This window comes from Homo sapiens, chromosome 17 (genome assembly GCF_000001405.40).
Source record: "Homo sapiens chromosome 17, GRCh38.p14 Primary Assembly".
Lineage (NCBI taxonomy): Eukaryota > Metazoa > Chordata > Mammalia > Primates > Hominidae > Homo > Homo sapiens.
The window spans coordinates 57,409,770-57,437,761 of record NC_000017.11 but is presented as its reverse complement, the minus strand read 5'-3'; the positions used below and the strand labels follow the sequence as shown (position 1 = coordinate 57,437,761).

At 45.7% G+C, this 27,992-nt stretch overlaps 1 protein-coding gene across 10 annotated transcripts in view, besides 5 other annotated features; it reads right to left on the bottom strand.

The window, feature by feature from the left end:
* MSI2 (musashi RNA binding protein 2) overlaps positions 1–27,992 on the bottom strand; it is a 445,731-nt gene that overhangs the window by 263,820 nt on the left and 153,919 nt on the right. The window lies entirely within an intron of this gene.
* Positions 12,640–12,934: an enhancer, noted in NCBI's record as "tiled region #14735; HepG2 Activating DNase unmatched - State 14:Gen5', and K562 Activating non-DNase unmatched - State 23:Low". NCBI's record gives its function as "activates a minimal TATA promoter and a strong SV40 promoter by Sharpr-MPRA in HepG2 and K562 cells {active_cell/tissue: HepG2 | K562}" and the evidence as "EXISTENCE:reporter gene assay evidence [ECO:0000049][PMID:27701403]".
* Positions 14,768–14,968: a silencer, noted in NCBI's record as "peak2912 fragment used in MPRA reporter construct". NCBI's record gives its function as "represses an SCP1 promoter by STARR-seq MPRAs in K562 erythroleukemia cells {active_cell/tissue: K562}" and the evidence as "EXISTENCE:reporter gene assay evidence [ECO:0000049][PMID:32103011]".
* Positions 14,768–14,997: a biological region, named in NCBI's record as "MPRA-validated peak2912 silencer".
* Positions 14,818–14,997: an enhancer, noted in NCBI's record as "active region_12431". NCBI's record gives its function as "activates an Ori minimal core promoter by ATAC-STARR-seq in GM12878 lymphoblastoid cells {active_cell/tissue: GM12878}" and the evidence as "EXISTENCE:reporter gene assay evidence [ECO:0000049][PMID:35858748]".
* Positions 26,549–27,050: an enhancer, noted in NCBI's record as "H3K27ac hESC enhancer chr17:55488073-55488574 (GRCh37/hg19 assembly coordinates)". NCBI's record gives its function as "activates a minimal SCP1, AML or CMV promoter by ChIP-STARR-seq in naive H9 embryonic stem cells {active_cell/tissue: H9 hESC(naive)}" and the evidence as "EXISTENCE:reporter gene assay evidence [ECO:0000049][PMID:30033119]".

Sequence of the window (27,992 nt, the reverse complement as noted above, 5' to 3'; positions counted from 1 at the left end):
TTTGGGAATTGTTTGGTCCACACAGAATGCAGGGCATAGAATACATGAACTTGTAGGGTTCTCTGTTTACCTTTTCTCATCCCTCTCCTTATTTTTGTCTTGTTAACAAGCCACCAAAAATGCATCCCTGTCCCATACGGAAGAAAAGAGAGCCAAGGACAAAAGTTTGAAGAAAAGTTCATTGCAGTGAACATTGGAATTCTACCTGGCAACCCGCTGAAAACATTCTTTCCCTCCTCTCCCCAGTCCCTCCAGGCATGTCCCCAATAATTCAACCCCCAATCCATCCTATTGCCAACCATCATCCCCAGGAATGACAGTCCCACTGTCAAGTCCCTCCTTCAATTGGAATTCGAGTTCTGACCTGACCCAAGTTCATTATTGGCATCAAAGAGCTCTGGCTCATTGAGTCATCTTTCTGATGATCTGGGAGCAAAAGCCAAGAGACTTCATTTCTTTATTTCCACTTCATTTTGTTCCAAAGGGATTGGAGGTGTCTTACAAAAATAGCTACAACACGATAAAAATAGACGAAGAAATGAGTTAGGATGGGGAATAAAATAAATCCAAAAGTAAGGTTACTGCCCAAAAATATGCATCACGATTGATAAAGGCAATCCCAAGAAATGAGACACCAAAAATGTTCTTCCTGAAATTCCCTCCTCATCAGGAAGATGGAAAATATTTCTGCTGATATTCAACAGACACTTGACCTACCATCCAAGTCTCGGCTCAACCTTGGGGATTCATCAACAATGCACACACCAGGCTCCAGGCTGTAAGTGTCTCTGATGTCCTTGAATCCAATGTCAAGTACTTCTCAGCTGGGAGAGGTGAGTTGCTGGAGTCAACCCAGGAGAAGGGACAGGAAGGGTGGGGAAAATGTTTTCTCTAAAACCAGAGTACTGTCAGTACTCATCTCTGCTTGCAGAATAACCCTGTCTGACCTTGGGCAGAACTAGATGCTCTCCTCAGTCCCTCCAATTCTAAAACTTTTATGATATTAATGATTAACCGCTGTCATATTCAAGGGAGTGGTTTCATTGGAATGCCCACAGCAAGCGGCATCTTTCACTTCCACCCAAGTCTCCAATTCTGCCTGCTCTCACCCCCCTGCCTCCTCGGCGAGCATGGGCTGCCCAGACCCAGGGGCTCCTCTGCCCCAGGCTCTTGAACCTCTCAACTTTCATTTCCCATGCCTTCTAACACTCAGCTTAGCAAAGCAAGGCCCACGCTGGATCTCTCTCCCCACATCCACCCAGCAGAGCATCAGTTTTCTTTAGTCCATACTTTTTGGAGAACCCAATAGCCAGAACACAAGTACAAAAGGTTTTCCCACACATTTGTGAACACACATTCCTCCTTCCATAATCTGTTCCCAGTCCCAGTCTATTTTCAATAGAAGATATTTACTGAGTGCATATTCTGTGCCACAGGCTCTACTAAGCCCCTTTTGTGAATTTTCTCATTTAACCCTCACTGCCCCCATGTGAGGTAGTTACTTTCTTATTCTTCCCATCTTACAGATCAACATATTGAGAGACTCAGTGAGGTCAAGTCGCTTGCCCACGGCCACGCCTGTATTCATCCCCAGGTTCATCTCATTCCAAAGCTCGGAACCACTACACTATACAGTGATACCCGCTTCCACAATCCATTAGGAACCTTCTGCTTTTAATTGCTTCATCACTCAGTTATAGATTTTTCAGGCATGCATTCATTCCAAGAGCTAACCCTCCACCTCCAGCATGGAAGTTTTGGGTTTTGTGGTCCAGCAGACCTGGGCTCTGACCCTTATTCAAGGCCCCACAACCTCTCAGAGCTTCAGTTTCCCATGTGTATAGTAGAGCAAATCCCCCAAGTCTCCTATTAAGAGTGTGGCAGTTCCTGGATGGATAAAATTTTTTCTAGGAGGGATGGGCTTACCCCCTACCCCTCCGACAATTTCACATAAAACATGAATCCATCACTCAGTCCCATTGGAAGGGCAATGAATCCATCCCCAAGGACCGAGGGGCATTCCAAAGGAGACTTACGTGAGACAGCATAGCCCTGAGGCCCTCCCTGGCTGGGGAGGTCTCTTTAGTGTGCAGAAACGATTTTCTAATTAAGTGGTGAGCATGCTGTATTGACTTTAAGTGCACGAGTAGCTCAGGGGAGGAAGACAGTGGATTAGAGGTGTACGACAGAAGAATTGAGCTGGGCATTAAAGCCAGATCACCTTTGGTGCTCCTAGCTCCCCACTATCCAGTCTCTACAGAAAAATCTGAGTGACCTTTAAAAACACTGATCTTGTCACTTGTCTGCTTAAAACCTTCCAAAGGCTTTCCACGGCACTTGGAAGAAAATTCAAACTTCTTCCCCTGGTTCACAAGGCTCTGCGTGGCCCATCTGCCTCTTCCCCAACACACCAGGTGCCATCACACCTGTCTTCCTTCTGAGTCTTGAACTACCAAATTCTGTCCCGTCACAGGGCCTTTGCACTGCCTGCTCCCTCTCGGGAATGACTACCTCCCATATCTGCACACAGCTGGCCTCTTCCTTCATTCAGGGCTTAGCTTCAAAACCAGCTTCTGAGAGAGACTTGCCTTACCACCCCCATCAAAAGTAGCCCCAAGTTGCAACTCAAGGGAAGATCAACAAAAAACAAAAATAATAAAATAATAAAAAAGAAAGTAGCCCCAAGCAGTCTCTCTTACATTAGTGGAAATTTTCTTCATAGCAAAGAGAACTCTCTGCTATGTTTGTTATTTGCTTGCCATCTGAGTGTTTTCCCCTCAACCCTCCACTGAAATGTATGTTTCATGAAAGTGAGAGTCTTGTCCATCTTATATCCCCCAGTGCCTAACACAGCACCTGACATGTTGAAGACACTCAATCAAAATTGGCTGGCCTTATGTTCACTGCAGCACTGTTCACAATAGCCAAGACATGGAAACAAATTAAGTGCCCATCGATGGGTAAATGGATAAAAAAAAAATGTGGTGTATATATATATATGCACTACTCAGACTTAAAACAATGAAATTACATCCTTTGAAACAACATGGATGAACCTAGAGGACATTATCCTAAGTGAAATAAGGCAGGTACAGAAAGACAAATATTACATGATCTCACTTACATGTGGAATCTTAAAAAGTCTAACTCATAGAAACAGAGAGTATTAATAGAATGGGGGTTACCAGAGGATGGGGGTGCATGGGGAAGGAGGGAGATGTTGGTCAAAGGGTTTGCTGGTCAAAGGGAGATGCTGGACAAAGTTTCAGTTAGACAGGAGTAGTAAGTTCCAGTGATCTACAGAACAGCATAGTGGCTATAGTTAATCATAAGGTAATGTATATTTCAAAATTGTTAAAATGGGCCAGGTACGGTGGCTCATGCCTGTAATCCTGGCACTTTGGGAGGCCGAGGCGGGCAGATTGCCTGAGTTCAGGAGTTCGAGATCAGCCTAGGCAACACGGTGAAACCCTGTCTCTACCAAAATACAAAAAATTAGCTGGGTGTGGTGGCAGGTGCCTGTAGTGCCAGCTACTTGTGAGGCTGAGGCAGAAGAATTGCTTGGACCCAGGAGGCGGAGGTTACAGTGAGCCAAGATCACACCACTGCACTCCAGCCTGGGCGACAGAGCAAGACTCCGTCTCCAGAAAAAAATAAATCGTTAAAATGTTCTTACTACAAAGAAATGATAAGTATGTGAAGTGATGGATGTATTAACTCACGTGCCTTAATCACTCCACAATGTATACATGTATCGAAACAAACATCACATTGTACCCCATAAATATAAACCATTACTATTCATCAATTAAAAATAACATTTTTAAAAATTTAAACATCACATTGTATTTCCCCACCAAAAATTAAATTAAAATTTAAAATATTCACATCATACAAAAAACACTGGTTAGGAACAGAGAAGGAGGGGGCCAGAGGAACACGCAACAGTACAACCACAATCCGCATGAGCGGCGCTTAAGGAAGGGGAGCATCTCTGGGGCTGATCAACTCTGAAGACAGCGGGCAATCACCCATTAACAAAGCGAGGGTCCGCATTAGGGAAGTCTGGGAGGCCAGGCATGGGTGGCAGCTGTGTACAGTGAGAACATTCCTGCACTCAGAATTCGTGGCTTCAAAACACAGCTTCCCTATTGTCTTGGTTTTCTAGGGCTGCTGTAACAAAGTCCTGCAACCAGGTGGCTTAAACCACCAGGAATTTACGTCTCGCAGTTCTAGAAGCTGTCCTTCTAAAGCTCTGGGGAGAGTCTGTCCCATGCCTTGCTCCTGCCTTCTGGGGGCTCCTAGCAATCCTTGGTGTCCCATGGCTTGTGGATGCATCACTCTGATCCCTGTCTCTATGTTCACGGGGTCTTCTCCCCATGTGTGTCCTGGGTTCGACTTCAGATCTTCTTATAAGGATACCAGTCACTGCATTAGCACCCTCCTCCCAACAGCATGTTACCTAATTATATCTGCAAAGACCCTATTTACAAATAAGGTCACATTCTGAGGTTCCAGGTGAACACGAATTTGGGAGAGAACACCATTCAACCCAGTACACCCAACAACTTGGCGTGTCACCTTAGAGAAGCCGCCTGCAGTGTCTGAGCCTCCCTTTCCGAGTTGTTCCACACAGGTCTCAAATCCTTTCTCGAAAGGGAGGTGGCAGCACTGATCATGGTGCCTGTCACTCTGGAAGGGCCCACGGACGTGAACTGAGTTGAGAGGACTGTAGATTCACTGTGGCAGGAAGTAGGGAGCCACTGCAAGTTGGGAACAGAGGATCGTCTGCTGAAAACAGGATTTCAGGAAGTCGCGTCTGGTAGCAAAGGGCAACACAGGTTGGAGCAAGAGGGACCGTGACAAGGAATCACATCAGGAAGCAGAAGGGGTTCAGTCTTGCTTGTGATGGGGACAGCAGACAGAAGAGAGAAGGAGTGAACACAGGAATCGCTTAGCAGATAAGCATCGGTCTCAACGAGTGAGTCAGGAAGAGCTGTCAGAAACGCCATTCTTCTCCTAGACAGGGACTCAGGGCAGGAGACCAGACTGGAGTCAGTGAGGTCAGTGTGAGGAGGGCGAAGGTGAGATGAGCCTGGAACATTCAAATGGAAATGCCCAGCAGAAAGGGAGTGGGGGAGTCAGACAGGGAGAGGCCTGGGCTGCCGGCGGAAACCTGGAGGAAGAGGGAGAGTGGCCGAGGCCATGAGCATAAACATCTCTAAGGAAGAAGCCAAAGGGCCAGCTAGCATCTCATCCCAAGGACAGACTGCCTGATTCCAGAGAGGGCAGCCCTTCAAATGCCCACATGTGACTGCGTCCACCTAAAAACCCAACCCCAATGCTGGGAACCACTAGAGAAATGCACACCGCAGAAACCTGAGAATGGCTATGAGCCCAGGAATACAGCCTCCTCCATAAGGAGGCAGTGGGACAAGGCACGGAAAGAGGGACACCAGCTCCAGTTTCTTCTGGGCCACCGACCCTGAGCAAGTCTCCTGGCTCCTCGGGGCCTCACACACCCTCTACGTCACAGACAAGGAAACTAAAATCCCTTCCAAAGCCGAAATTCCGTGATTCTCATCCACCAGAGCCACATTAAGTGCCTGGTAATTCAATAATTCAATTAAGACAGCTCAATTTTTTTCAAGCTTAATATTTAATGGAAGGGTTATGAAGTGCGACACAACTCGGCGTGATTAATAGTTACAATTAAAGGCTGAACGTGTTGAGGGGAGAGAGGCACAGATTACTGGGAACACATTTGTGCTGCAAAGGGACAGAGCAAGTTGTACCTACAGACTGGGGGAAGCCTTCTCTTCATATTCCACACCGCCGCCAAATGCCCGGTGGAGTCTGTGCTGCAAGGGGGTGTTCTGTCTACAGAACCAACTGGCTGACTTGCCCAAGTGCAGGTGGACACTGGGGGCAGAGAGTGAAGTGGGGTCCCTCCCAGCCTCCCCAACAAATCAGAGCTTGTTTGCTGCAAAGCTGGAATGAGGCCCACCCTGATGGGGCCTATCTTCTTGCCACCACAATCAAGTCTTCCAGAAGGCAAACAGGTAAGGGGAGGAATGCAATCTGCCAGACAGGAAGATGCAATGGCTGATCTTGGACAAACAGCTCCAGGGGTGGCAGGAAGTTGTTTTGACATCTGTCTTCTCACGTCAAAGAGATCCTCATTCCAAGACCACAGGTGCCTCTGGCCTCCAGTAACCCACATGCAGGTTATATAAAAGACATGCCGCACCGACCATGCTACAACACAGCTGGCCTTGGGACCCCCAAACCTACCACCTGCCTCTCCCTGTAAATTCAAAGGAAAGCATGGACACTCACAATGCAAGGACACAAACAGCTCATTTCACCTGCGACCCATTTAACATCTAAGGACATTCCCTGGCTGTGCTGCCAGTTCGGGCCCAAGGAGCTGGTGCCACCCACATCCTACATGGTGGCCGTTCTGAACCACAGGGCTCTGATTTTTGTGCTCAGGAGGAGCCTGGCTCTGAGCATCAGGGGAGGAGAGAGGGCCGATGCCTAGAGTGCAGCCTGCCTGGGCTCCCACCTGTGAATCTGTGCCAGTTACAGAAAAACTGGGCCTGGAGGGATAAATTCTTCAAAACGGGAGGGTCACAATGAATGGGCAGGAGATACCATCTGACATGGAATGGGTTTCAGCAACTGAGGGCATTTCACCCAATTGTGGAATAAAACACGTGGTCCTCAGTTAAAGGCTTTACAGCCAAAGAGAGAGGAAATGGAATTTGTTTGTTTCTAATTCTTGGAGGAGTCTTCTCCGTGCTCCTAAAATCATAACCAGTGCCAAATTCAGGAAGAAGAGGCGGGCAGGACAGCCAATGCAGATTCTATAAACAGTGAAAACTCCTTCATCTTCATGGTCAGAGGACCCCCTATGCTCTGATTCCTCCACCCAACCACCACCACAGCCTTGCTTCCTCCCACCACCTCTGCCAACTTGGGCCACCATCCTTGGGTCAGAGGGCAAGCTAAGTCTAGAAACTCAGGGCCACCAGCACATGGGCCAGGGAAAAGTGGGTGCTTAGAGATCTCCAGCCTTGAGAAGAAGACAGACAGACAGAATCTGTTGAGTGCAGCCCCGGAGTCTCTCATATGGGAAAATGAGAGGTGAAGAGCAAGAACAAGAAAAATAAATCCAATGAAAATAAGGCCATTGCTTTAGAGGCATGCATATTAACGAGAACTTTTGAGTGAATGAAGGAACAGCTGTCCTGCAGCACCAGCACTTCCTGAGCCCCCATTTGCCAGACCAGGAGTGGGGCAGGGGGTACAAAGAAGAAACTGCCATTCCTGCCTTCAAGGAACTTGCCCCAGGGGCAGTGTGGACACTGATTACCAACACCAGACAACCACATGATAAGAGAAAGAAGGCGGACTGAGATTTGGCTGGAAAAAAAAAATGTTTATACTAATTAATTACAATCACTGATGTGAACTGTTTGCCATTCATGCCTAATTACTGTGCAGCAAAACAATGGTGTTTACCATCAAAAGAGCATCACTTCACTTTGAGGTGAGTTTTCTTCGGTGGCTACAGAATTTCCAATGAATGGGCACTGTGTACTAGTACTCATGGTCACACGCTAACAACCTCAAGACATTGCAGGGAGTTCCATCCTTACAAATAACAAGGCACATATGATTTAAATAAACATCGGATTGAGAATTCACTGTGTGTGAGGTCCTCTGCTGAGGACTTCCATGCATCTGTTTCCCTTAAGACTCCCAATCCTATCAAATACTTTCTACTGAATCACCATTTTACAGATGAATTTGCCCAAGGTCACACACTTGGGAAGTGATGGGGGCAAGAATGGCAGCCAGGCCTGCCTGCTCCCAGTGTCCACGTTCATCACCAGTGTGACAACTGCAGAGTGAATGCGCTCAAAGTGTGGAAGGACACACACCAGAATGCTGGTTCTCCAGGATGAGACCGGAAATTCTCCCTTTTGCTTAGCTATTTTAATTGTTTTTTTTTTTTTTTAATTATCTAATCAATGTGAAAGACCTGAGGGTTTGTTGTTCCGATGGTGTGTTTGTTACAGACTAGAGCTCCACTGGCTATGACTCCCCACAACCAGGAAGCCTAACCAGGGGTGGGGAGGTGGGAGTCCAGGCATGCAGGGCAGGAAAAACCCTTGCTGGTCATCCAGGCCAACCTTCAATGCGCTGCAAATGTCCTTGCTATCTGGTCCCTAACAGATGGTCCTTACTTCATCACAGCCTCCCTGGATGCTGAATGAGTAGACGGAAGCTCCAAAAACATCCAGGCAGGAAGGACAGCGGCAGCAGGAGTCACTGGATGGTCATTACAAACATCACCCTTTGCCCAGTGTCTGGCAGCACATGATCAGCCTCTCCTTTTCTCACTGGGAGAGCAAAACTACTGAAGATAATCTTTTTAGACACACGCAAAACCCCAAAGTTTCCAAAACCGGGGCCAACCTTTTCTCTCCCAGACACCTTAGAGCAATAGTGCCTATTTGGAGGCTGTGTGGGATCAGCCTGAAATGCAGGGTTAAGTCGGCATAGCCCAGGTGCCATCTAGAAGGCCCTCCCCACATGAAGGGAGATCTGCAGGGGTTAGACTGAGGACACGCAGATCCAGGAAGGACCACTAGCTCTCCATGTTATGAAGAGCCAGATATGCTGGGAAAGGTCTTGAGGGCACTAAGGATAAGGACTATGTCAAATGTACTATATTTAAGCGTGGGGGATCTTCTCCTCCAGGCACTCTGGAGTCCCAATGCCTAGCCCTGTACCTGGCCCATAGAATGCATCACAAATGTATACTGATCATAAATATATGCTGGCTGGTAAATATATTATTACTAGGAGAGCAGAAGGCACTGAAATCACAGAGTAAAAAGAACTGAAAGAACTGGGTGTGTTTACCTTGGAAAATGGACAATACAGCGAGGGTGGGAGGCAAAGGAGACCTCATAATTGTGCTCACACAATTCAGCTTCATGGTAAAGTAGATAAAACATGATATTTGAAATTAGAAGACCTTGGTTTGAGACCCAGCTTTTTGCTACTCAGCTAACTTTGTGTGCCTCTAGAAGGATTACCCTCATTCTAAATATGAAAACAGGTAATGAATGTTTCACAATTGCAGCTGTACATTAGGACTTTTAAAAAAAGATGCCCAGCCAGAAGCAGTGGCACACACCTATAATCCTGGGTTCTTAGGAGGCTGAGGTGGGGGCATCACTTGTGCCCAGGAGTTTGAGGCTGCAGTGAACCATGATCAGGCCACTACACTCCAGCATGGGTCCAGCCTGGGTGACAGGGCAAGGCCACATCTCTTTTAAAAAATAAAATAAAATAAAGGCCAGGTGGGGTGGCTCATGCCTGTAATCCCAACACTTAGGGAGGCTGAGGTGGGAGGATTGCTTGAGCCCAGAGATGGAGGCTTCAGTGAGCCACGATCATGCCACTGCACACCAGCCTGGGTGACAGAGTAAGACCTTGTCTCATAAAAACAAACAAAGATGTTCAGATTTTACCACAGTCCTACCATCTAATCTCCAAAGATGGGTCCATGAATTTGTATTTTTGAAAAGCTCTTTAGATCATTATAATATATAGCCAAATTTGAGAACCACTAACATGTATATCAAAGCACTGATATACAAACATTCCTTTGCTCACGTTTTCTTGCTGACTTTCTCCCCACTATCACCCTGTTTTCCTGCTGCATTCCCCTTGCTGAGACAGTGAAAATATCTTTTATATGTCTATATAGCTAATCTATATAATATATAGTAATATCTATGTCAATATATATTAAAGAATTATTCAAAATATGTGGGAAAGGGAAAGAGTTGTCCCACTGCAGAGCTCACAAAGCCAAAATAAGGAACTATGTGCTCTTTAAGCAGGGAAGCAGATTTTTACTCCTGAAATGTTCTTCCTTAAACCATTAAAAGCCGATCAAATATGAAAGATTAAAAGAGATTCCTAACAAATCAAATTTGTCAGGAATACTGCGGATGAGATTCCCATATGGATTGGATGGAGAGGCTGGATTAAATAACTTTGTAATTCAATGTATTAATAATTAATGACATGGCAACATTTACTAACCCCCATATGTAAAGTGTGTCTGACACTTTACGTACGTGGCCTCATTTCAGCCTTAGGACCACATAATGAGGAAGGTGGTTTTATACATTTCATTCATCAGCGGGAGAGAAGTAGGGTCCCACTCATACCCTCAACTGCAACCAGGCTGGTTTCCCCACATCCCGTGAGGTCCTGTACACATTCCTGCCTTTACATTTTTTCTTTTATTTTCTTTTATTTATTTTTTTTTTTTGGAGACAGAGTCTTACTCTGTCACCCAGGCTGGAGTGCAGTGGTGCGATCTCCGCTCACTGCAACCTCCACCTCCTAGGTTCAAGCAATTCTCCTGCCTCAGCCTCCCAAGTAGCTGGGATTACAGGCATGCATCACCACAACTCAGCTAATTTTTGTATTTTTATTAGAGACAGGGTTTCACCATGTTGGCCAGGCTGGTCTTGAACACCAGACCTCAGCTGACCCACCCACCTCTGCCTCCCAAAGTGCTGGGATTACAGATGTGAGCCACCACGCCTGGCCTCTGCTTTTATTCATGCCAGTCCCAACTAGGAGAAACAGAGAGCTTCTCTCAATGAGAAACCTTCGAAGCAATTCAACAGTACCTTCCGTGGGGGCACCCCGGCTTCAGCCTGGTGAAGAAGTGATTTTAAAATTTAGAAGCCCTGGCTCCAGTGGACACCCGCATCTCCCATTTCCCCAAGAGATGGAAAGAGTTTGCTTCCATTTAATCTCTTCCTCAAACACTTCTCTGTCAGGCCATGCTTCATGAAAATCTTCACTCTAACGCTGAACACTGCAGACCTCCATTGAAATAAAGGTTCTGTGAACTCTAAGCCTTTCTCTGGAGAAGGTTTTTATCAAATGCAGATGTAAAAGGTAACAACAGGAGAGGAAAAAGGCCTGTGCCCCAGGCCTGTGCATTTCCAAGGCTGTATGGACACCCATTCATCACCTGCACGAGGATGGGGACACTGTCACGGCACAGTCACCTCAGCACCTGGTACATCAAAAGCACTCAACAACCATTTACTACTGAATGAAAAAAATAAATTAAAATGTATGTAAGATCAAAAACATGTCTACAATTGGGGAAAAGTTGACTCTCAGAGACCTCCTAATGCTAAAACTTTATAATTGGAGAAAAATCCCAAAATGGGTACTGGGTGACTACTGAGTGTAGGGCACTGCCCCATGTGCCGTGAGGACGCACACAAGAGCAGCAGGAGGGAAGAGATAAACAGGCAACAAGCTGAACGTTATCTTAAAAGAGCAATGCAAAATTTAAATAACAATGGTAATGCTTTCACAAGGCAAGACGTAATTGCCAAATGTATTAGATGAAGGAAAAAGTCAGTATTTGTCTTCAGCTATATCCTGTCTAGGACAAAACCGGTATGCAGCTAGGAACAATGATCAAAAACCCATTAAAAATCACGACTAAACACATCCACTTGAAAACATTTTATTTGCCACCATTTTTGTTTCAAGATGACAATCTGAAACAGAAACACAACCCCCGGTCTATCCTGAAACTCTCCTGCATGTATCTCACTCAGTCAAAACCATTTACAACTTCATGGATTATCAGAGAACAGAGAGGCAATGTAACAAGTATTTAAAAGTCAAGGTATAACAGATTCCTCACTCTTCAATATTAAAAAAAAATGTTCCATATGACAAATTTCAGAGGAATGTAAATTTTAGAAAGACTTGGGCACAAAAATCCTAAGACCAAAAGCTCAAGCTCACTCTTATGCTGCCTTAACTGGTAGAAATGTAAATTAGTACAACCTCCCTGTGGGGCAGTTTGGCAATAAATAGCAAATTGTAAAACGTATTATTATCTCCTTATTGTAAATTCCTAGAAGTGGAATTGCTAGGTCAAAAGTATTGCAGGAGCAGGAGAGAAATGCATGCACAAGGGCGGTCCTGCCAGAACTGGCTATAATACCAAACAATGATCATAATGATACTGCAAACAACCTAAATGATCCTAACTAAGGGTTTGCGTAAGTCAATCATAGTGCATCGATATCACAGAAACAATGAAGGCAACAAATATGACCATGTAGGGTACAATCACATGGAAAAATGCCTCTGACATACTACTGACCAGAAAAGGCCATCTGGCAAACACCACATATGATCTCATTTATATAAAAGTGTACACAACCGTAGTTTATATATGTGCAGACAGACCTCTGGAAGCCTACACCAAAATGTTACTGTGGGTTATCTCATGGTGATGAGATGAGAGGATTTGTTAGTTCTCTGTTTACTTATGTATTTAATTTTTTCTAGTATGTCTTTTCGTTTTTAAACAAAATCATAATGCTGTTAAAAATAAACTTCCTTCATTTACAGATCACCCAATTCTGTGCAAAATGTGGGACTTTCTTCACCACTGATCCCAGCAGCTGAGTCCCAACTGTAGTTGTGGAATATTCCAGAATAACTCCATGCAACTCACCTACAACCCTGGCCCTCCCCTCTTCAGGATACCGGGCAGGATTAAATGTGAGAGTAGTGCACTCCGCCACCCTGGGAAGAAAGGCTTTTATAGCCCATGATTTCCAGGCCATTCCAAGTGCTTCCTGAGTCCTGCCCCACCTCCTGCAGGGCCGGATGACTAACCCTGCCCCAGGAAGGAAATGGGGCCTCGCTGAGGATCAGAAGTTGGACCTCATAAAATTGCAAAGCAGATCAGGTGTCCGACTCCCAAGCACAGCCTCCAACAAATCCCAGGAGGGTCTGCTGGGCTAAGCTCCTCCCTCTTGGTTCTAAGCCACCTCATCTGCAAGCAAAGGGATGACACTGGCTGTCCTGGAGTCATCAGACCCCTGCCCTAGAGTCATCAGGCACAGAGGCCACAGGCACCCCGAGAAGGCAGACAGGGGCCCAGCAACTCCCATGGGAAACACTTCCATCCACCTGGCAGGTGCATGCAGCCTCTGGAAACCAATATGGAAGCCACCCCTGAAGCATCAGGAGATGTCCAGAGCCAGCAGCTGTGACACTAGATAGTCATGTGTTAATGGCTCCCAAGCCTCACACCACACAGACTCCAGGAGGCCAGGCAGCAGCTCTGTTTTCCAACTTCTGGAGCTATGAGAAAACTTTCAAAGGATCTCCAGAAGAAGAAGAAAAAGACTGAAAGAGGGAAACCGCAAGTCAGAATTCCCACTCTGAGCCAGACACAGGCTCTTCTGTGCCTCTGTTAAGCCCCAAGGCAGAGAGAACGCTCATCTCCCATTTAGGAAACAAATACTCAGAGAAGCTAAGAGACTGGCTCAAGGGAACAGAGCTACTAGGTAGAAGATCTTCAAATGTATGTCTGATTTTTCCCTCCTCATCCCAGAAGGATACCTTGGAGTATTAGAGAGACTGCATTTTTCTCATCCTGATTCATTTAGTCCTTCATTCTTTTGTTTGAAGAGCTTAACAGAAGACAGCTCCTACACAGGGCTCTCTCTTTCCAGGTAATAACAAGCTCTGAGAACATTCGGAGAGTTCAGGGTTCATGCTGCCCCAAAGGATCTCTGAGAAGAACCAGCCCTCCACACAACCAGCTGGAACATCACAGTGATTGCCCCTGCAGGAGATGTATATAATAAAAATTGAATGCTGCAGCATGAACTTCATACATACTTGTCCTCTTGGTTTATTCATCAGAAATAATTATCTGTGCTTGCTTTCACAAGAGCACATATTTTATAGGGTACATTAAAATTTAATGGATTTTTAATAATATTGTAACTACCGCAAGAGAAAAACTGGAAAAAGCTGCGCCACATGTCTTTGTGGCATTTTGGTGGTTTGGCTCCAGCTTCGCAAAGAAAGAACTCATTTGGTGAGGAGGGGCGGGCAGGAGAGAGTGAAGAACCCATGCAAAACGCTGGGTGGGTATGAAAAATTTTATATTTGACTACTGGCATGAGAGATCTGTGCTGAGGGAGGGAAGTCAAGAAGGAAAGATGACAAATCAACAGGCATACTTTAACAAATGGCAAATTATGCTGGACTTAACCTGACTTTGGGCAACTTGGGATGTAGCTCAGAACAGAAGGAGGATGGTGATGGTGATCCACGCAACAGACACTTCAATTGTGGAAAGGCATGAGCAGGCGCTGGCCAACAGAATAGAATGCAGCTACAGGGCTGGAAGAGATCTGAAATCTCATCCAATGTCTACAAAGCCGAAATTTGTAGAAAAGATAGCCAAGGCCCAGAGAAGTAAGACGAGGCCCAAGATCACAAAGGAAATTAGCAGGTCTTTACATTTCTGTCGGGCTTCTTCTATTACTGTGTGTGGCCCAGGTTAAAAGCATATACTTAAATCTAACTCGAATGGCGAAGATAATGTTCTCAAGTCTTTAATAAACTGCTGGGTTGCAAGCTGCACATTTTTAGCCATTTCTGGGAAATTTAATTCCATTAATTTTCATAAGCCATCCCATGGTTTTTATTTTGATATGCATCACAAAAGATCACTCTATTTTAACTTTTTGGGAAAAGTTTTTTCTCTCCCTATGGGACTCGAACCCACATATCTGAAGGACTCATTAAAGAATAGAGTCCTATCTAGAGGCCAAGATGAGGTGGCCCCTTTAGTTCCTCATAGAAGGCTGCTATACACGCACCCAGTACAGTCATCTGGAGCCTCCTGAAGTGTCACCAGTCCAGAGACCAGTGTCTATTTCTGGACAAAGAAAGAAACCCATGGTGCCCTGCCACCAATGATGCATCCACAGCCAGGCTGACTCACCCATTCGTAAGTGCACTGCCAAAAATAACACCTTGCCAAAATTACGTTGCCTAATCTTTGACAAAGTAATATCCAAATTAAAATGAAAAAAAGGCTTAAATGTCAAGTGATGATGGTGATTTACGCTGTACTGATTTATATAATGCGCCACATCTCAGATGGGCCAATTTTTCCATGACATCAAAGCAGACCACGAGCAGGGTTAGCGGTGACAATGATGGCTGGAGAATGAGCATGGGTCTGGAGTTTGCTAGCCCTGGACTGAGCGCTCTCTCTGTCCCTTGGCAGCTTTGTGCCATTGGGCATGTACTTTCCTGTCCCGGACCCTCATTTTCCTCACCTGTGACAAGACAAAAGAATACCTACCTCACAGGGAGACTGTAAGAATTACCCATTTATCTTTTTTTTTGAGGCTGAGTCTCACTCTGTCACCCAGGCTGGAGTGCAGTGGTGCGATCTCAGCTCACTGCAACCTCCGTCTCCTGGGTTCAAGTGATTCTTCTGCCTCAGCCTCCTGAGTAGCTGAGACTACGGGCACCTGCCATCATGCTCGGATAATTTTTGTATTTTTAGTAGAGATGGGGTTTCACCATATTGGCCAGGCTGGTCTCGAATTCGTGATCTCATGATCCGCCCTCCTCAGCCTCCCAAAGTGCTAGGATTACAGGCGTGAGCCACCGCACCTGGCCCCATTTATCTACTAATAAAAGCAGTTCGTGTAGTACCTAGTACACAGTGGAGATGCAATTAATGAGAGTTATTATTTAAAATACCTGGTATTTACTATCACTAAATACGATTTGAGTGGATTGATAGTTCCTTTCAATTTTCATATGTAGAACTATAATTGTAAAGCTGTGTAACATTTGATAGTATTAAATATTAAACCACTGTGTAATTAAAGCCCAAAATGTCAAACACTGCAGCATAAACTACCTGACAGGCCTCCAAATGCCCTTTCACCAAGGTGTGATTTCTATTTATTTTGCTTTGTTGTTATTTTTGTGGTTTTGAGATGAAGCCTCACTCTGTTGCCCAGGCTGGAGTGCAGTGGTACAATCATAGCTCACTGCAGCCTCGAACTCCTGGGCTCAAGCGACCCTCCTGCTTTAGCCTCCCATGTAGCTAGGAGTACAGGCACATTTTTTGTACAGATAGGGTCTCACTATGTGACCCACACTGGTCTCAAACTTCTGGCCTCAAGCGATCCTCCCCACCTCGGCCTTCCAAAGTCTTGGGATTATAGGCTTGAGCCACTGCACCAGGACTATTTATTTTGTCTCAGTAAAAGTATACTGTGCCTGAGGAGAAGGAGGAGGAGGAGGAGAATGAATGGGGAGGAGGGACAGAGGGAGAGAGGCAGAGAGGAAGTCCACCAGTAGTCTAGAAGGTTCTACATTCCCAGGCCTTGTCTCTTACTGTTGCCACCTTCAGGAAAAACCTCTCCTTCTGATCTACTCCGTCCTGTGCAAGCATCAGGCCTTCCACACGCCCCATGTTCACGCCCTACATACACACACAAGCTGTAACTATCTACAGCTGGAGATACTCCGTCAAAGTAATCACATGACCTCTCAGTGTCAACATGCGCTTTGACAGAGGGTGAGGGGACTGCCACGGGGCCATTAAGCGTGGACATTAAAAGCGCTGATGGAGCCAAAACACATTAACCTGTGGAGGAAGCCAGGCTATCAGCTGCAGCTCCACCGACATCATAAAAAGTAAAGAGGCCTCAGTAAGGGAACCAATATTACAGCCATTGATATAAATTATACCTCAGAACAGGGGAGAAGGGGGTGGGGTATAAAAATGGAACAAGTTCAAACTTCTTTTATTGTAATAGTCTCCAGTCGAGCATAATCACCAAAGCTATAGTGCAATACGATTGCCAAAACTAGACAAACATCTGTGAGATGGATTCATCTCAGAGGGGAGGCCAACAGCTTGTTATCATTAAAGCGGCGATGCTCGCTCTGCGCCTGAACTGCAGGCCGCCTTGTTACTGCGTTTGCGGAGGCAATTGTACCAGATGTTGGCAACTATCTTCAGATAGATGACAGACACCTGCTGTTGAGGAAATTAAGCTCCTCATTGGCCTCTCTGATTTGGGGGTGGGGAGGAAGAAGCAAGAAAAAGTGACCCTTCCAGATAGCCCATGGGACAGGCACTAACCCAAGAGGGTGGTTGGAGCTTGCCAGATGGGCAGGCCAGCTCAGCTCCTGGTGTCAAAGACCCAAGAAGGGCCCACGGGGTGCTGGTGGAAAGATGGAGAAGTTTGGGAGGAATCTAATTCAGGCTGGGAAAGTACGGAGCTCTGCGCCGACTCCCTCGGCAGGTTGCTCTTGGTAACGGTCTCGGAGACTCTTCAAGAGATCCTAAATTTGAAACATGGCTATGGACATTAATCATCATTAAAAGCCAAACAGGCAATTTTCAAACCATGTCATGCTGACTCAGACAGAGACAAAGGCTCCAAAAGTGGGGGAGAGCAAGGACAAGAGAGATAAATACCACCTATGCCACCATGGACAAATAAAAATCGTGAGAGCCCATAATTCATTTTTCAGACTGCCCCGAACGTCAGTCGCTAGTTATTTGAAAGAAATGATTCATTCCAAAGTTGGCAGGGCTGACCCATGTCTACCTTGCTGGAGGGTGGCCTGTGAGAAAGATGCTGATAAAATGCAATCACCTGCGTCCTGGACCCTAGAGGTGCAACCTGACTCCTTTTCAGCAGAGGGCAGTCAACAGAGCTACCCCAGGACCCAGCAGATGGGTTCAGTCCCAGAGCACTGGTGATCTCCTTACAAGGTCGTCAGATCATCTTGGCCTTCCATTATTTCTGGGCAAGTAGTGATTCTCCTTCCTCTTGGATTATCAAATTTGAACCAGGATACCCCATACTTGATTCATTCTTACTACGATTACTGACACAATCTGACACCAACACCGACAACTGTCCTCAGTGAGAGGCAGCAGTGCGGACTCAGGGGCAGAAGCAGGCCCAGCCAGGGTCCACGGCGTCCTGACCGAAGAGACCAAGGTCAGAATGTTATTCATGAGCCTCAGTTTTCTCATCTGTAAAAGGGTCTGCAAAGCCCCTTCTAGGTCTACACAGCTAACAGCCCTAACCTGTTCTCATCACAACCAAAGAAATTAGATGGCTTGGTGCAGCTAGTTGAGAAATGTACTAGCTGGCTGGCACAGTGGCTCATGCCTGTAATCCCTGCACTTTGGGAGGCTGAGGTGGGTGGATCACCTGAGGTCAGGAGTTCGAGACCAGCCTGGCCAACATGGTGAAATCCCTTCTCTACTAAAAATACAAAAAAAAAAAAAAAATTAGCCAGGCATGCTGATGAGCACCTGTAATCCCAGCTACTCGGGAGGCTGAGGCAGGAGAATCGCTTGAACCTGGGAGGCGGAGGTTGCAGTGAGCTGAGACTGAGCCACTGCACTCCAGCCTGGGTGACAGAGTGAGACTCCATCTCAAAAAAAAAAAAAGAAAAATGTAATAATTGCGTTAAAGCCCAAGTTTTCTACCTCTACTGGCAGCCCAATTTGGGGGTCACTCTAATATTTAGCCACAAAACAAAATGGAACGTGCCTTTTTAGCCTGTAATTAAGGTTGTTTCATGTCCTTAACCAGTAAGAACTTCTTTGCTCTATTTAAAAAAAAAAAAAAAGAAAACCTCCATACTTTAAAGTTCCTAGGACAGAAATGACGAATTTTCAGAGAAACACTTAACTAGAGAATACAGAAATCAAGGCATCAATTTAATTTCACACTCTACCTGCCTTGGACTAATTTGTGTAAATTACATTTCATACTAAGAACCTCAGCCCACGTGACCACAATGGAGAAATAAGCAGCTTGCATCAAATTGAGTTTTTCAGTTATAAATATAGAGCTCTTTTTAGTGTGTGAATGTTTAACTGAATTTTCAATAAAGGTTTTATATAAAAATTTCCAAGTGTTAATTTCCACCATTTTCATTGACATGTCAATGTCACTGGTTTTTTACAGACCTAAACAGTGCAGATTAATCCATGTGGATCCATTTTTTCCTCTTTTAGAAAAGTGATTACCACCAAATTCTCAGCTTATAGATGTGAGTGAGCAGAGTCAAGGACCCGTCGCATAAAGCTGCATAAAAGTTCCCACTTTGGCCTTCCACTTTCAGGAATGTGGCCAGATAAGTGTTGCATGACGAGCAAGCCTTTGCACACGTTTGTGGGTACAATCCTCTAGCTTGTGGCTACCACGTCCACACAGAGCACCTGTCCTTGAGCAAGAGCACCCCACAGCCCAAGAAAAAAGCAAGACCCCAAAATGATCATTCCTTGCCTATTCACTATAACAAACCTTATGTGACTGACAGGGGCTTATGCCTGCTCTTAACTCTCCCTAGTCCTTATTATTTGCAGCTACTTACTCCAAAAGATTTTTCCAAATATCTTGGAGGGATGGCATCAGACAATACAATGTACCTTTCTGACATGTGCCTACATTAAAAGGATGACTATTTCAAATGAGCATAGCCATGCCCCTAAAGTTTATTACTGATCCTGAAAATATCCTCAGTTCTATGAAATCGCTGCTTTCTTTGAGACGTCAAGTTGACGACTAGGACTGTCTATAACAGGGGATAGCAACTTACGGCCCACAGGCCTGCTGCCTGTTTTTGTAAATAAAAGTGGAATTGGAACACAGCCACACTCATTCATTTACATATTGTCTATGGCTGCTTTTGTGCTACAACAGCAGAACCGAGTAGCAGGGACAGAGACCGTATGGCCCACAGAGTCTAAAATATTTGGTATCTGACCCTTTACAGACAAAGTGTGTCAAGCCCTGCTCTCTATGTACTTGGAGCTACGAATGAGAGGAGGAATAATAACAATGACTCTGTAATTCCTAGACACAGGGAGGAAGGAACAATTGTGAAAATAAATGGTATTTCTTTTTATTGCCTCTTTACAAAAAGGCATCTAGAATCAATACATTTGATTTGGGACACCTGATACAGACTTTCAACCAGTGGTTAAGTTATGGGTTTAGCAGAAAACCACTGACTTCAGCTGTCATTCTGTCCCAGGTGCACCTGATCCATCATCTTTGTCCATTTCCTTGGGCGGCCAAATCCCTTCATGAGCAGATCCCAGGTTAATCACATCCGGGAGGCAATAATGAGACTGAATTATAACTGAGACACCCTGACTAATGTTCGCTGAGGTTCTTTCACATTGAAAAGATCACATCTACCGTTCCACTCATGGGTCAAACAAGCAGACCTGCCTTGTGGCTTCTTGGGGGTTGAGGGGTAAGATCTCAGGGAGGAGACTGAACATGGCAAGAAGGGGAGCATCTGTAAAGCCCTGAGGTGCATCCTCAGCAGTCAGCATCTCTGGGCAAGGTGAATGCAGGCATCCAGATGTAAACTGCCTCCCTCCTTGCTCTGCAGCTGATGACAAAGTCAAACTCACGATTTCAGGTCCATGGAAGTGAGCCCTCTCCATGTGGTTCTTTCCAAAATGGGCAGGGGCAGGACTGTGATATCCAGGGGTGTGTGGGGCAAGTCACACTCTGGGCTTCCTCCTCTCCTCCACCTACCATGGCAACACTGGTCCTTTATGGAGCCCAGAATAAATGTCTGTCAAGCACCTTTTCCAGGTCAATGCTCAGGCTGGCATTGAGGCACATGAAGACATGATCTGCCTTCAGCGGCCACCATAGGGAACAGCCGAGTCAGCTGAGGGAAAGGATGGGAGGCCTGGGAGAGGAGCTCCACAGCAGCAACCACCGTCCCCACCTCGCAGTGACACTGGCAGGCTCTCCATTTGCTATACCACACTGCGATTCTGCTTACCACCATCTCTGCTCCTTGACCACAAGCCCCACATGGGTGGGCACCCCACCTCACCCATCTCTGTGGCCCCATCATGGTGCTTAATACCTAGCTTGGGTTCCTGAATGCAAGGATGGTTGGACAAGCACAACCACCTTAGGACCTTTCAACAGCAGCTGATAAGAGACCTTCTTCCTCCCCCTCCAGTTGTTCCCATGATCACCAGCATTCTTAGAGCTCCTGAATGTACTGTCGTCCAGCCCCCCAACCCCAGGAACTCCCTTAACTAACCTGAAGGTCTCCCTGAGTGTAGGCTGTGAGGCAGATCAGCCACACTCAGGTGTCTAAGAGAAACCAGCATAAGCACCCCCAAAAAGGGCAACAACAAACTGAGACGCTCTTTGAGGGAGTGGTGCATTGTAAAATATGGGCGGACACACCCTTGTCAAGAAGGGATGTCACAGACAGTACGAGAAAAATCCCAGTCCACGAGAAGGCAGCAATTTCTATCAGAACAGGCCTTTTGAAATAACTTGCAAGTGAATTACAGCGGCTGCTTCCTATGGGAGGGAAAATTATTTCGGGCGGCTTCCAGCCCCATGTGCCTCCTTTAATTCAAGTCATATGCAAGAAATATTTATTGAGGGTGGAAGTCTCCCCATAGGTGTGTTTTAAGATCAGGCCACACTGGAGCACTCCAGTTAGCTTTTTAAAGCTGCCTTAAAAGAACATTTTTAATGCACCATCTCCTTTGCTTTGAACTGATTTCTCATTGCAAACAAACAACCCCCTACAAATATCTGCTTTCCTCTGCTTCTCCTCTGGTCTCGGCTGCCAGGCAAGCACTGAGTGCTTGGGGACACCACCATTAAGATGGTGGTTTTCAATAGAAACTTGGCATTTATCATAGTGAGAGTATTATCTTCTCAACAGAAGCTGACAATTTGTCCTATTCCTCCCTTGAGAGAATCCAGTGAGATCACATTTGCTTCCCCTGCATGCTGTTTCTCCTACTACAACATTTCTTTGCCTGGAAAGAAAATATTGTGACTCCTTGCCATATTCACTTCATTAGCATAAGAGGAAAAAAAGCCAAATCCTCCACTTAGCCTCCCCCAACACTAACTCCAGCTGGGTTAAATCTAGGAGGATCTCAGAATGAGGACTTCCATGGTTCCGGATTTGTCAGAGGGATAGCTGTGGAGGGGTGGGGGCAGAGGCTGGGAGCAACTAAGAAACTGGTCCAAAAACCGTCCATTTGGCACACAGAGAGGGCTTTGTGCAGATTAAGGGAGGGAGTTTATCAGAGGGAGTGAACCTGGTGAAAGTCAGCAATTTGGGGGTTCAGAAACACGGGATGTTGGGGGGAATGGGGAGCAGAAAGGGAATGCAGGCAGGGGAGACTATCATTAAATACCCATGTGCCAGACCCTGGGCAAATGTGTATCTTTTCATTCTTACAACCCCATTGTAAATGAAATTGTATGCCCACTTAACGGATGAGAAACCAGGCTCAGGAGACAGTTGAATCAATAGCCCAGGGTCACAATGCTAACAGCAAATGATCTGGATTCAAACTCAGGTCTGCCCAATTCCAAAGTTGAGAATTGTTCAACTTCACCCCACATAATCCCCCCACAACCCCACATAATTCCCGACAGTCTGGCAGTAAATGCCAATGGCAAATTCGGTTCATTCGAGAGGCAAAAATGTACCCACAAACACATTCTCCATGTCCACAGCCAGATTTCTCAACATCAGGGAGGATTGTGCTGTGGCTTAATGTTGTTGGACCCATTTTCATTCCCCACCCTGGCTGATCACAAGACGGCAAGTCTGGGAGAGAAACTGCCCGATGCCCATCCAAGTACCCCCATCCCTGGTGCCCAGAGGATCCATAACATCTATGAGCCTAGATGAGTCAACGCTCTCACCGTCTCACCAGCTTTTCAAAGTCACTGACCTACCCTGGTACCTCCCAAGCAGCAAGTCTACTGCTTTTCTTAGACCAAAGACAGAAAGAAGAGAAGGAGAGAAGATGAAACAGAGTTGCATATCCCAATTTTTACCCTCCTGACATCCTTCCCTTCTCTGTGTCTACCCTCTATGCCGAAACCTGCCTGAGAATCTACCGACTCTGAAAAGGGCATTACTGACCAGCTCACCCTGCCCAGATATTCCCTTAGTTCTATTAAGCTTTTGCTGCGGGTTGGAAATAGCTAAGGGATCCTAGGATGCAGGGAAATAATGGGTTTCACATAAGGAAATGCTCCAGATAATGGAATATACTCTCTTAATGCCCCATTTTAAAAAGAAAAATCCTGGCTGGGCAGGGTGGCTCATGCCTGTAATCCCAGCATTTTGGGAGGCCAACACGGGCAGATGCTCACCTCCTTTTAAGGCCAGGAGTTTGAGACCAGCCTGGCCAACATGGCGAAACATCATCTCTACAAAAAATACAAAAAATTAGCCAAGCGTGGTGACAGGCGCCTATAATCCCAGCTACTTGGGAGGCTGAGGCAGGAGAGTTGCTTGAACCCAGGAGGCAGAGGCTGCAGTGAGCCAAGATTGCACCACTGCACTCCAGCTTGGGCAACAAGAGTGAAACTCTGTCTCAAAAAAAAAAAAAATCCTAATTTTACCCTTTGAAACTCCTTCTCCAATGACTGGAACTTCCCTGCCCTCCGATACAGAGGATCCATTCATTCCACCACTGTTTACTGAGCACCAACTACTGCCCAGGCCATAGGCCAGTCCTGGTGCTACAGGGTGAGTAAACAGACCCAGCCCCACTTGGTGGAATTTACAGTCAGGTCAAGGCAAAGAGACTACACATATCTGACTTCTTGATAAGCCAAGATTCCCTCTTCCGTATTCCCATTATGGATTCTCTCAGCTCCTGGTTTCTTTCCTTGATGACACAATCTGTAATTATTTTTATTATTTCCTTGCTTGCTTTTGGCTGGTCCTCCGCCACCCACACCCCATGCTTGTTAAGCTCCAAGTAAGCAAGGATCTTGTCTGTTCCACTCACCAAGGTGCTCCTGGCTCCTAGCTCGGTACCTGGCATTCAAGGTAATCAAGGTCTGCTGAATGAATCAATGAACAAATGAATGATGCGTGAGGCTGTAGATGCAATGCCTTGTGGGCCTAATGAGGAAGGATGACTGTTTCCCTGCACTAAACAGTCCTACATTGCGGAGCTTTTCAAGATCGAAGCCTCTTTGTTTTTATAGGTTTTCTCCCTCTCGCTTTACACTGAGTTTATTAACATCTTTCCACCCCTTAATATTTGCTATAAATTTAAAAGAAGCCAGAAAACCAAGCTTATTAGAATCATATGTAAAGGAAAAGGAAAGAAAAACTTAAATGAGGATCTGAAAAGCTCTCCCAGGAGGCAAAATAAATGCAATAAACAGATTAGTGGATCAATATATATAAAGATATTTTAACAAACATCAGCCAAATGATACTGGGACAATTTCCAGGCAGTATCCGTTACCAAAAAAAGTTTAATTATTCGAGAAAGAAATGTAAAGAGTGTTCATCAGAAGGATCCACCCAGAAGAACTCTCTTTGGGCCTACATCGGTTCAACTCTTTCATCAAAGCCAGGGCAACCGGCAAGTCAGTTCCACAAACTGGAAGCAGCGGGGTAGCCGGATGGAACTCGAGGTACATCCCACCAAAATTGCATAAAACTGAATCGTCGTCTTTATGCTCAGAAGATGCAGGAAGGGCTTTTTAGTTTGCATCATTGCCAGGGTGGGTAGAAGAATTGAGTGGTAAGCTCCCCCACAGGATAGATGGAAAAGATGAATGAGAGAACGAGACAGACAGAGAGAGAGAGAGTGTGTGTGTGTGTGTATATAAAGGCTGTTGCACTAGCAAGCCTACTGCTAGACAGGACTAAAGTGGAAACTCCAGAGTCTCAGAGGACCTGAGTCTCCAACGTTGAAAATAACACCACCAGCTCATGTTTCTAACATTTGTTAAGTGCTCACTCTGTTTCTTAGCAGGATGCTAACAACTATGTGTGCATTAGCTCATTTAATCCTCATGACAACCCTATGGGTTAAAGACCATCATTATCCCCATTTTACAGATAAAGAAAGTGAGGTGGGAAGAAGTTAAATGACCTGCCCAAGGTTACCAAGCTAGTAAACAGATGAGCTGGGTCTAATACCAGACAGACTGAGTGTAAACAACCTATGCTCTTATTAGCAGGCAATATGCTCAGCCAAGGGGGTATGAAAACTATACAGTCTGAGGGCCAAAACCAGCAGCCTCCTGACTTTTGTAAATAAAGTTTTATTGGAATATAGCCACAACCATTCATTTTCATATTGTCTTTGGCTGTCATCGTGATAGCATGGCAGAACTGAATGGTTCTAGGAGACCATCTGGGCCACAAAACTAAAAATAGTTATTATCTGGCCTTTTGCAGAAAAAGTTTGCCAGCCCCTATACTAAGGAGTAAACAATAGAGATTCTCAACTTTTCTACCTATGTACTCCTCCTAAAGGCAAAGTACGTTAAGGGACAGCCCAGAATGACCAGGAACTGATGCAGCCAGAAGCGATCCTGAAGTGTCTGCAAGTATCACAGTGTTTCAAAAAAGAATTATGCAAATATTGCATTCTGTGCCATAATATTTGTTCTAATATAAAATATTTTAGACAAACTGGCCAGGTGCGGTAGCTCACACCTGTAATCCCAGCACTTTGGGAGGCTGAGGTAGGCAGATCACTTGAGGTCTGGAGTCCGAGACCAGCCTGGCTAACATGGCGAAACCCTGTCTCTACTAAAAATACAAAAATTATTCAGGCGTGGTGGCACACGCCTGTAAACCCAGCTACTTAGGAAGCTGAGGCAGGAGAATTGCTTGAACTTGGGAGGCAGAGGTTGCAGTGAGCTGAGGTCGCGCCACTATACTCTAGCCTGGGTGACAGAGAGGAAGGTCAGAGTGACTTTCCTCAAAGAGGTACCATAGTAATTCTTCCCCCGGCCCCGCCCCCAGACGGAGTCTTGGTTTGTCGCCCAGGCTGGAGTGCAATGGTGTGATCTTGGCTCACTGCAACCTCTGCCTCCCAGGTTCAAGCAATTCTCCTGCCTCAGCCTTCTGAGTAGCTGGGATTACAAGCGCCCGCCACCACACCCTGCTAATTTTTGTATTTTTAGTAGAGACAGGGTTTCACCATGTTGGCCAGGCTGGTCTCAAACTCCTAACCTCATGATCCACCCGCCTCAGCCTCCCAAAGTGCTGGGATTACAGGTGTGAACCACTGCGCCTGGCCATACCATAGTAACTCTATGGCACTACAAACAACTGGTCAGGGCCACCCCAAAGAAGATCACCTCAGGATAAACAGCTTAAGTTTAACAACAAACCCAGAGTCCTCACCCAGGAAGTCTAGATTTGAACCTTGGGCCCCACTGCTGTTGGGCTAAGGGGTCTTACATAGTCATTTATGCTCTCCTAGTCTTCCTTACCTAATTTTAAAATAGGGATAATTATCCTACCTCACAGGGCTGTTGGGACAATTACAAGGTAAAAGATACATGAACGGTTCGGGCAAACAGGAATCCCTAAATCTGAACACAAATACCAACTTAGTTGAATGGAAAGCAGTGACATCAATACGTCCTCCCTTTTTGCTAAGAAAACAAGTCTGTTGATAAAAGAAATGGGTTGCTCTTATTAAAGAATAAAAATCGGCTGAGTGTGGTGGCTCACGCCTGTAATCCCAACACTTTGGGAGGCTGAGGCAGGCAGATCACTTGAGTCCAGGAGTTTGAGACCAGCCTCGGCAACACGGTGAAACCCTGTCTCTACTAAAAATACAAAAAAATTAGCCAGGCATGGTGGTGCATGCCTGTAGTCCTAGCTACTTGGGAGGCTGAGGTTGGGGAATCACCTGAGCCCCAGAGACTGAGGCTGCAGTGAGCTGAAATCGTGCTGCTGCACTCCAGCCTGGGAAACCATAGTGAGACCCTGTCTCTAAATAAATAAGTAAAATAAAATAAATAAACAAATAAATAAAACTGTTTCCCTATCAGAGAATCTGCAAGCTCCCTTGCAAACTACTCCAGCATTTCATCTCCCTGTTGCTTTCCATACCCTTGTCATTCCATAAGAAAGCTGGGAATAAGATCAGGAAGCCCGTCTCTGATCATTCCATACTCTCACTTATTTTTCCTTAAGTGAAAAACACCTTAAATTGTTTTGTCAATACTAACACTCTATAAGCAAATCTGAAAATATTTACCTCTGCCGCCAATTATAAAAGATGGTTAGCGACCTCGACAACCCAAAATCTCTAATTTACAACTAATCTACTTTCACAAATTACATCTTCTATAACAGACCACCTAAAAACGACTTCCTGTAAACAAACCACTCTGCTGGGTTTTCTTTTCTTTTTTTTTTAATTTAATTAAATCCTTATTTTGCTCTTTAACTACAAGAAGCTCACTTTTCGCTACATTGGGGCAGAATTTTTTTTTTCAAGAGACACAGAAATAATCGCCAAATAGAAGCCCAGAGGGGTGCACAGACAGACAGACTGTGGGTCTGTCTGACCTGCCTTCAGCAGCCACTTGCTCATCTAACACTTGCCGGCCTGTGCTCACGCAAGGCCCCATGCTGGCTGTTTACCCAGCAGCTGGATTAAATGAAGAAGGCAGAATGTAAACAGGTATGAAGTTAGTGTTCTGGAGCACGCAGGAAGGAGTATTTAAATCTCCTTGGAGGTGGTCAAGGAAGATGCTGACCCTTTTAGAGTGTCAGGCCAAGTGTCTTGACTTCTCCAGACTCCGCTTGAAGGTGACCAATTCATTCTAGTTTGCAAGGCCCAAGTTCCTAGAAACCCCCTTAGTCACAGGCAAACCCAGACAACCAGTCACCCTACCTGCATCCTGCCCAGGTCTTCTCCCTACGAGGAGGAATCATCATAATATTAAGTTGGCCTGTGGTGCACTGGCTCCCATACTCCCCATTTTTTTTTTTTTTTTTGGAGACAGAGTCTCACACTGTCACCCGGGCTAGAGTGCAGTGGCACGATCTCGGCTCACTGCAACCTCCACCTCCTGGGTTCAAGAGATTCTCCTGCCTCAACCTCCCGAGTAGCTGGGATTACAGGTGCCCACCACCACGCTCAGTTAATTTTTTGTATTTTTAGTAGAGACAGGGTTTCACCATGTTGGCCAGGCTGGTCTCGAACTCCTGACCTCATGATTCGCCCGCCTTGGCCC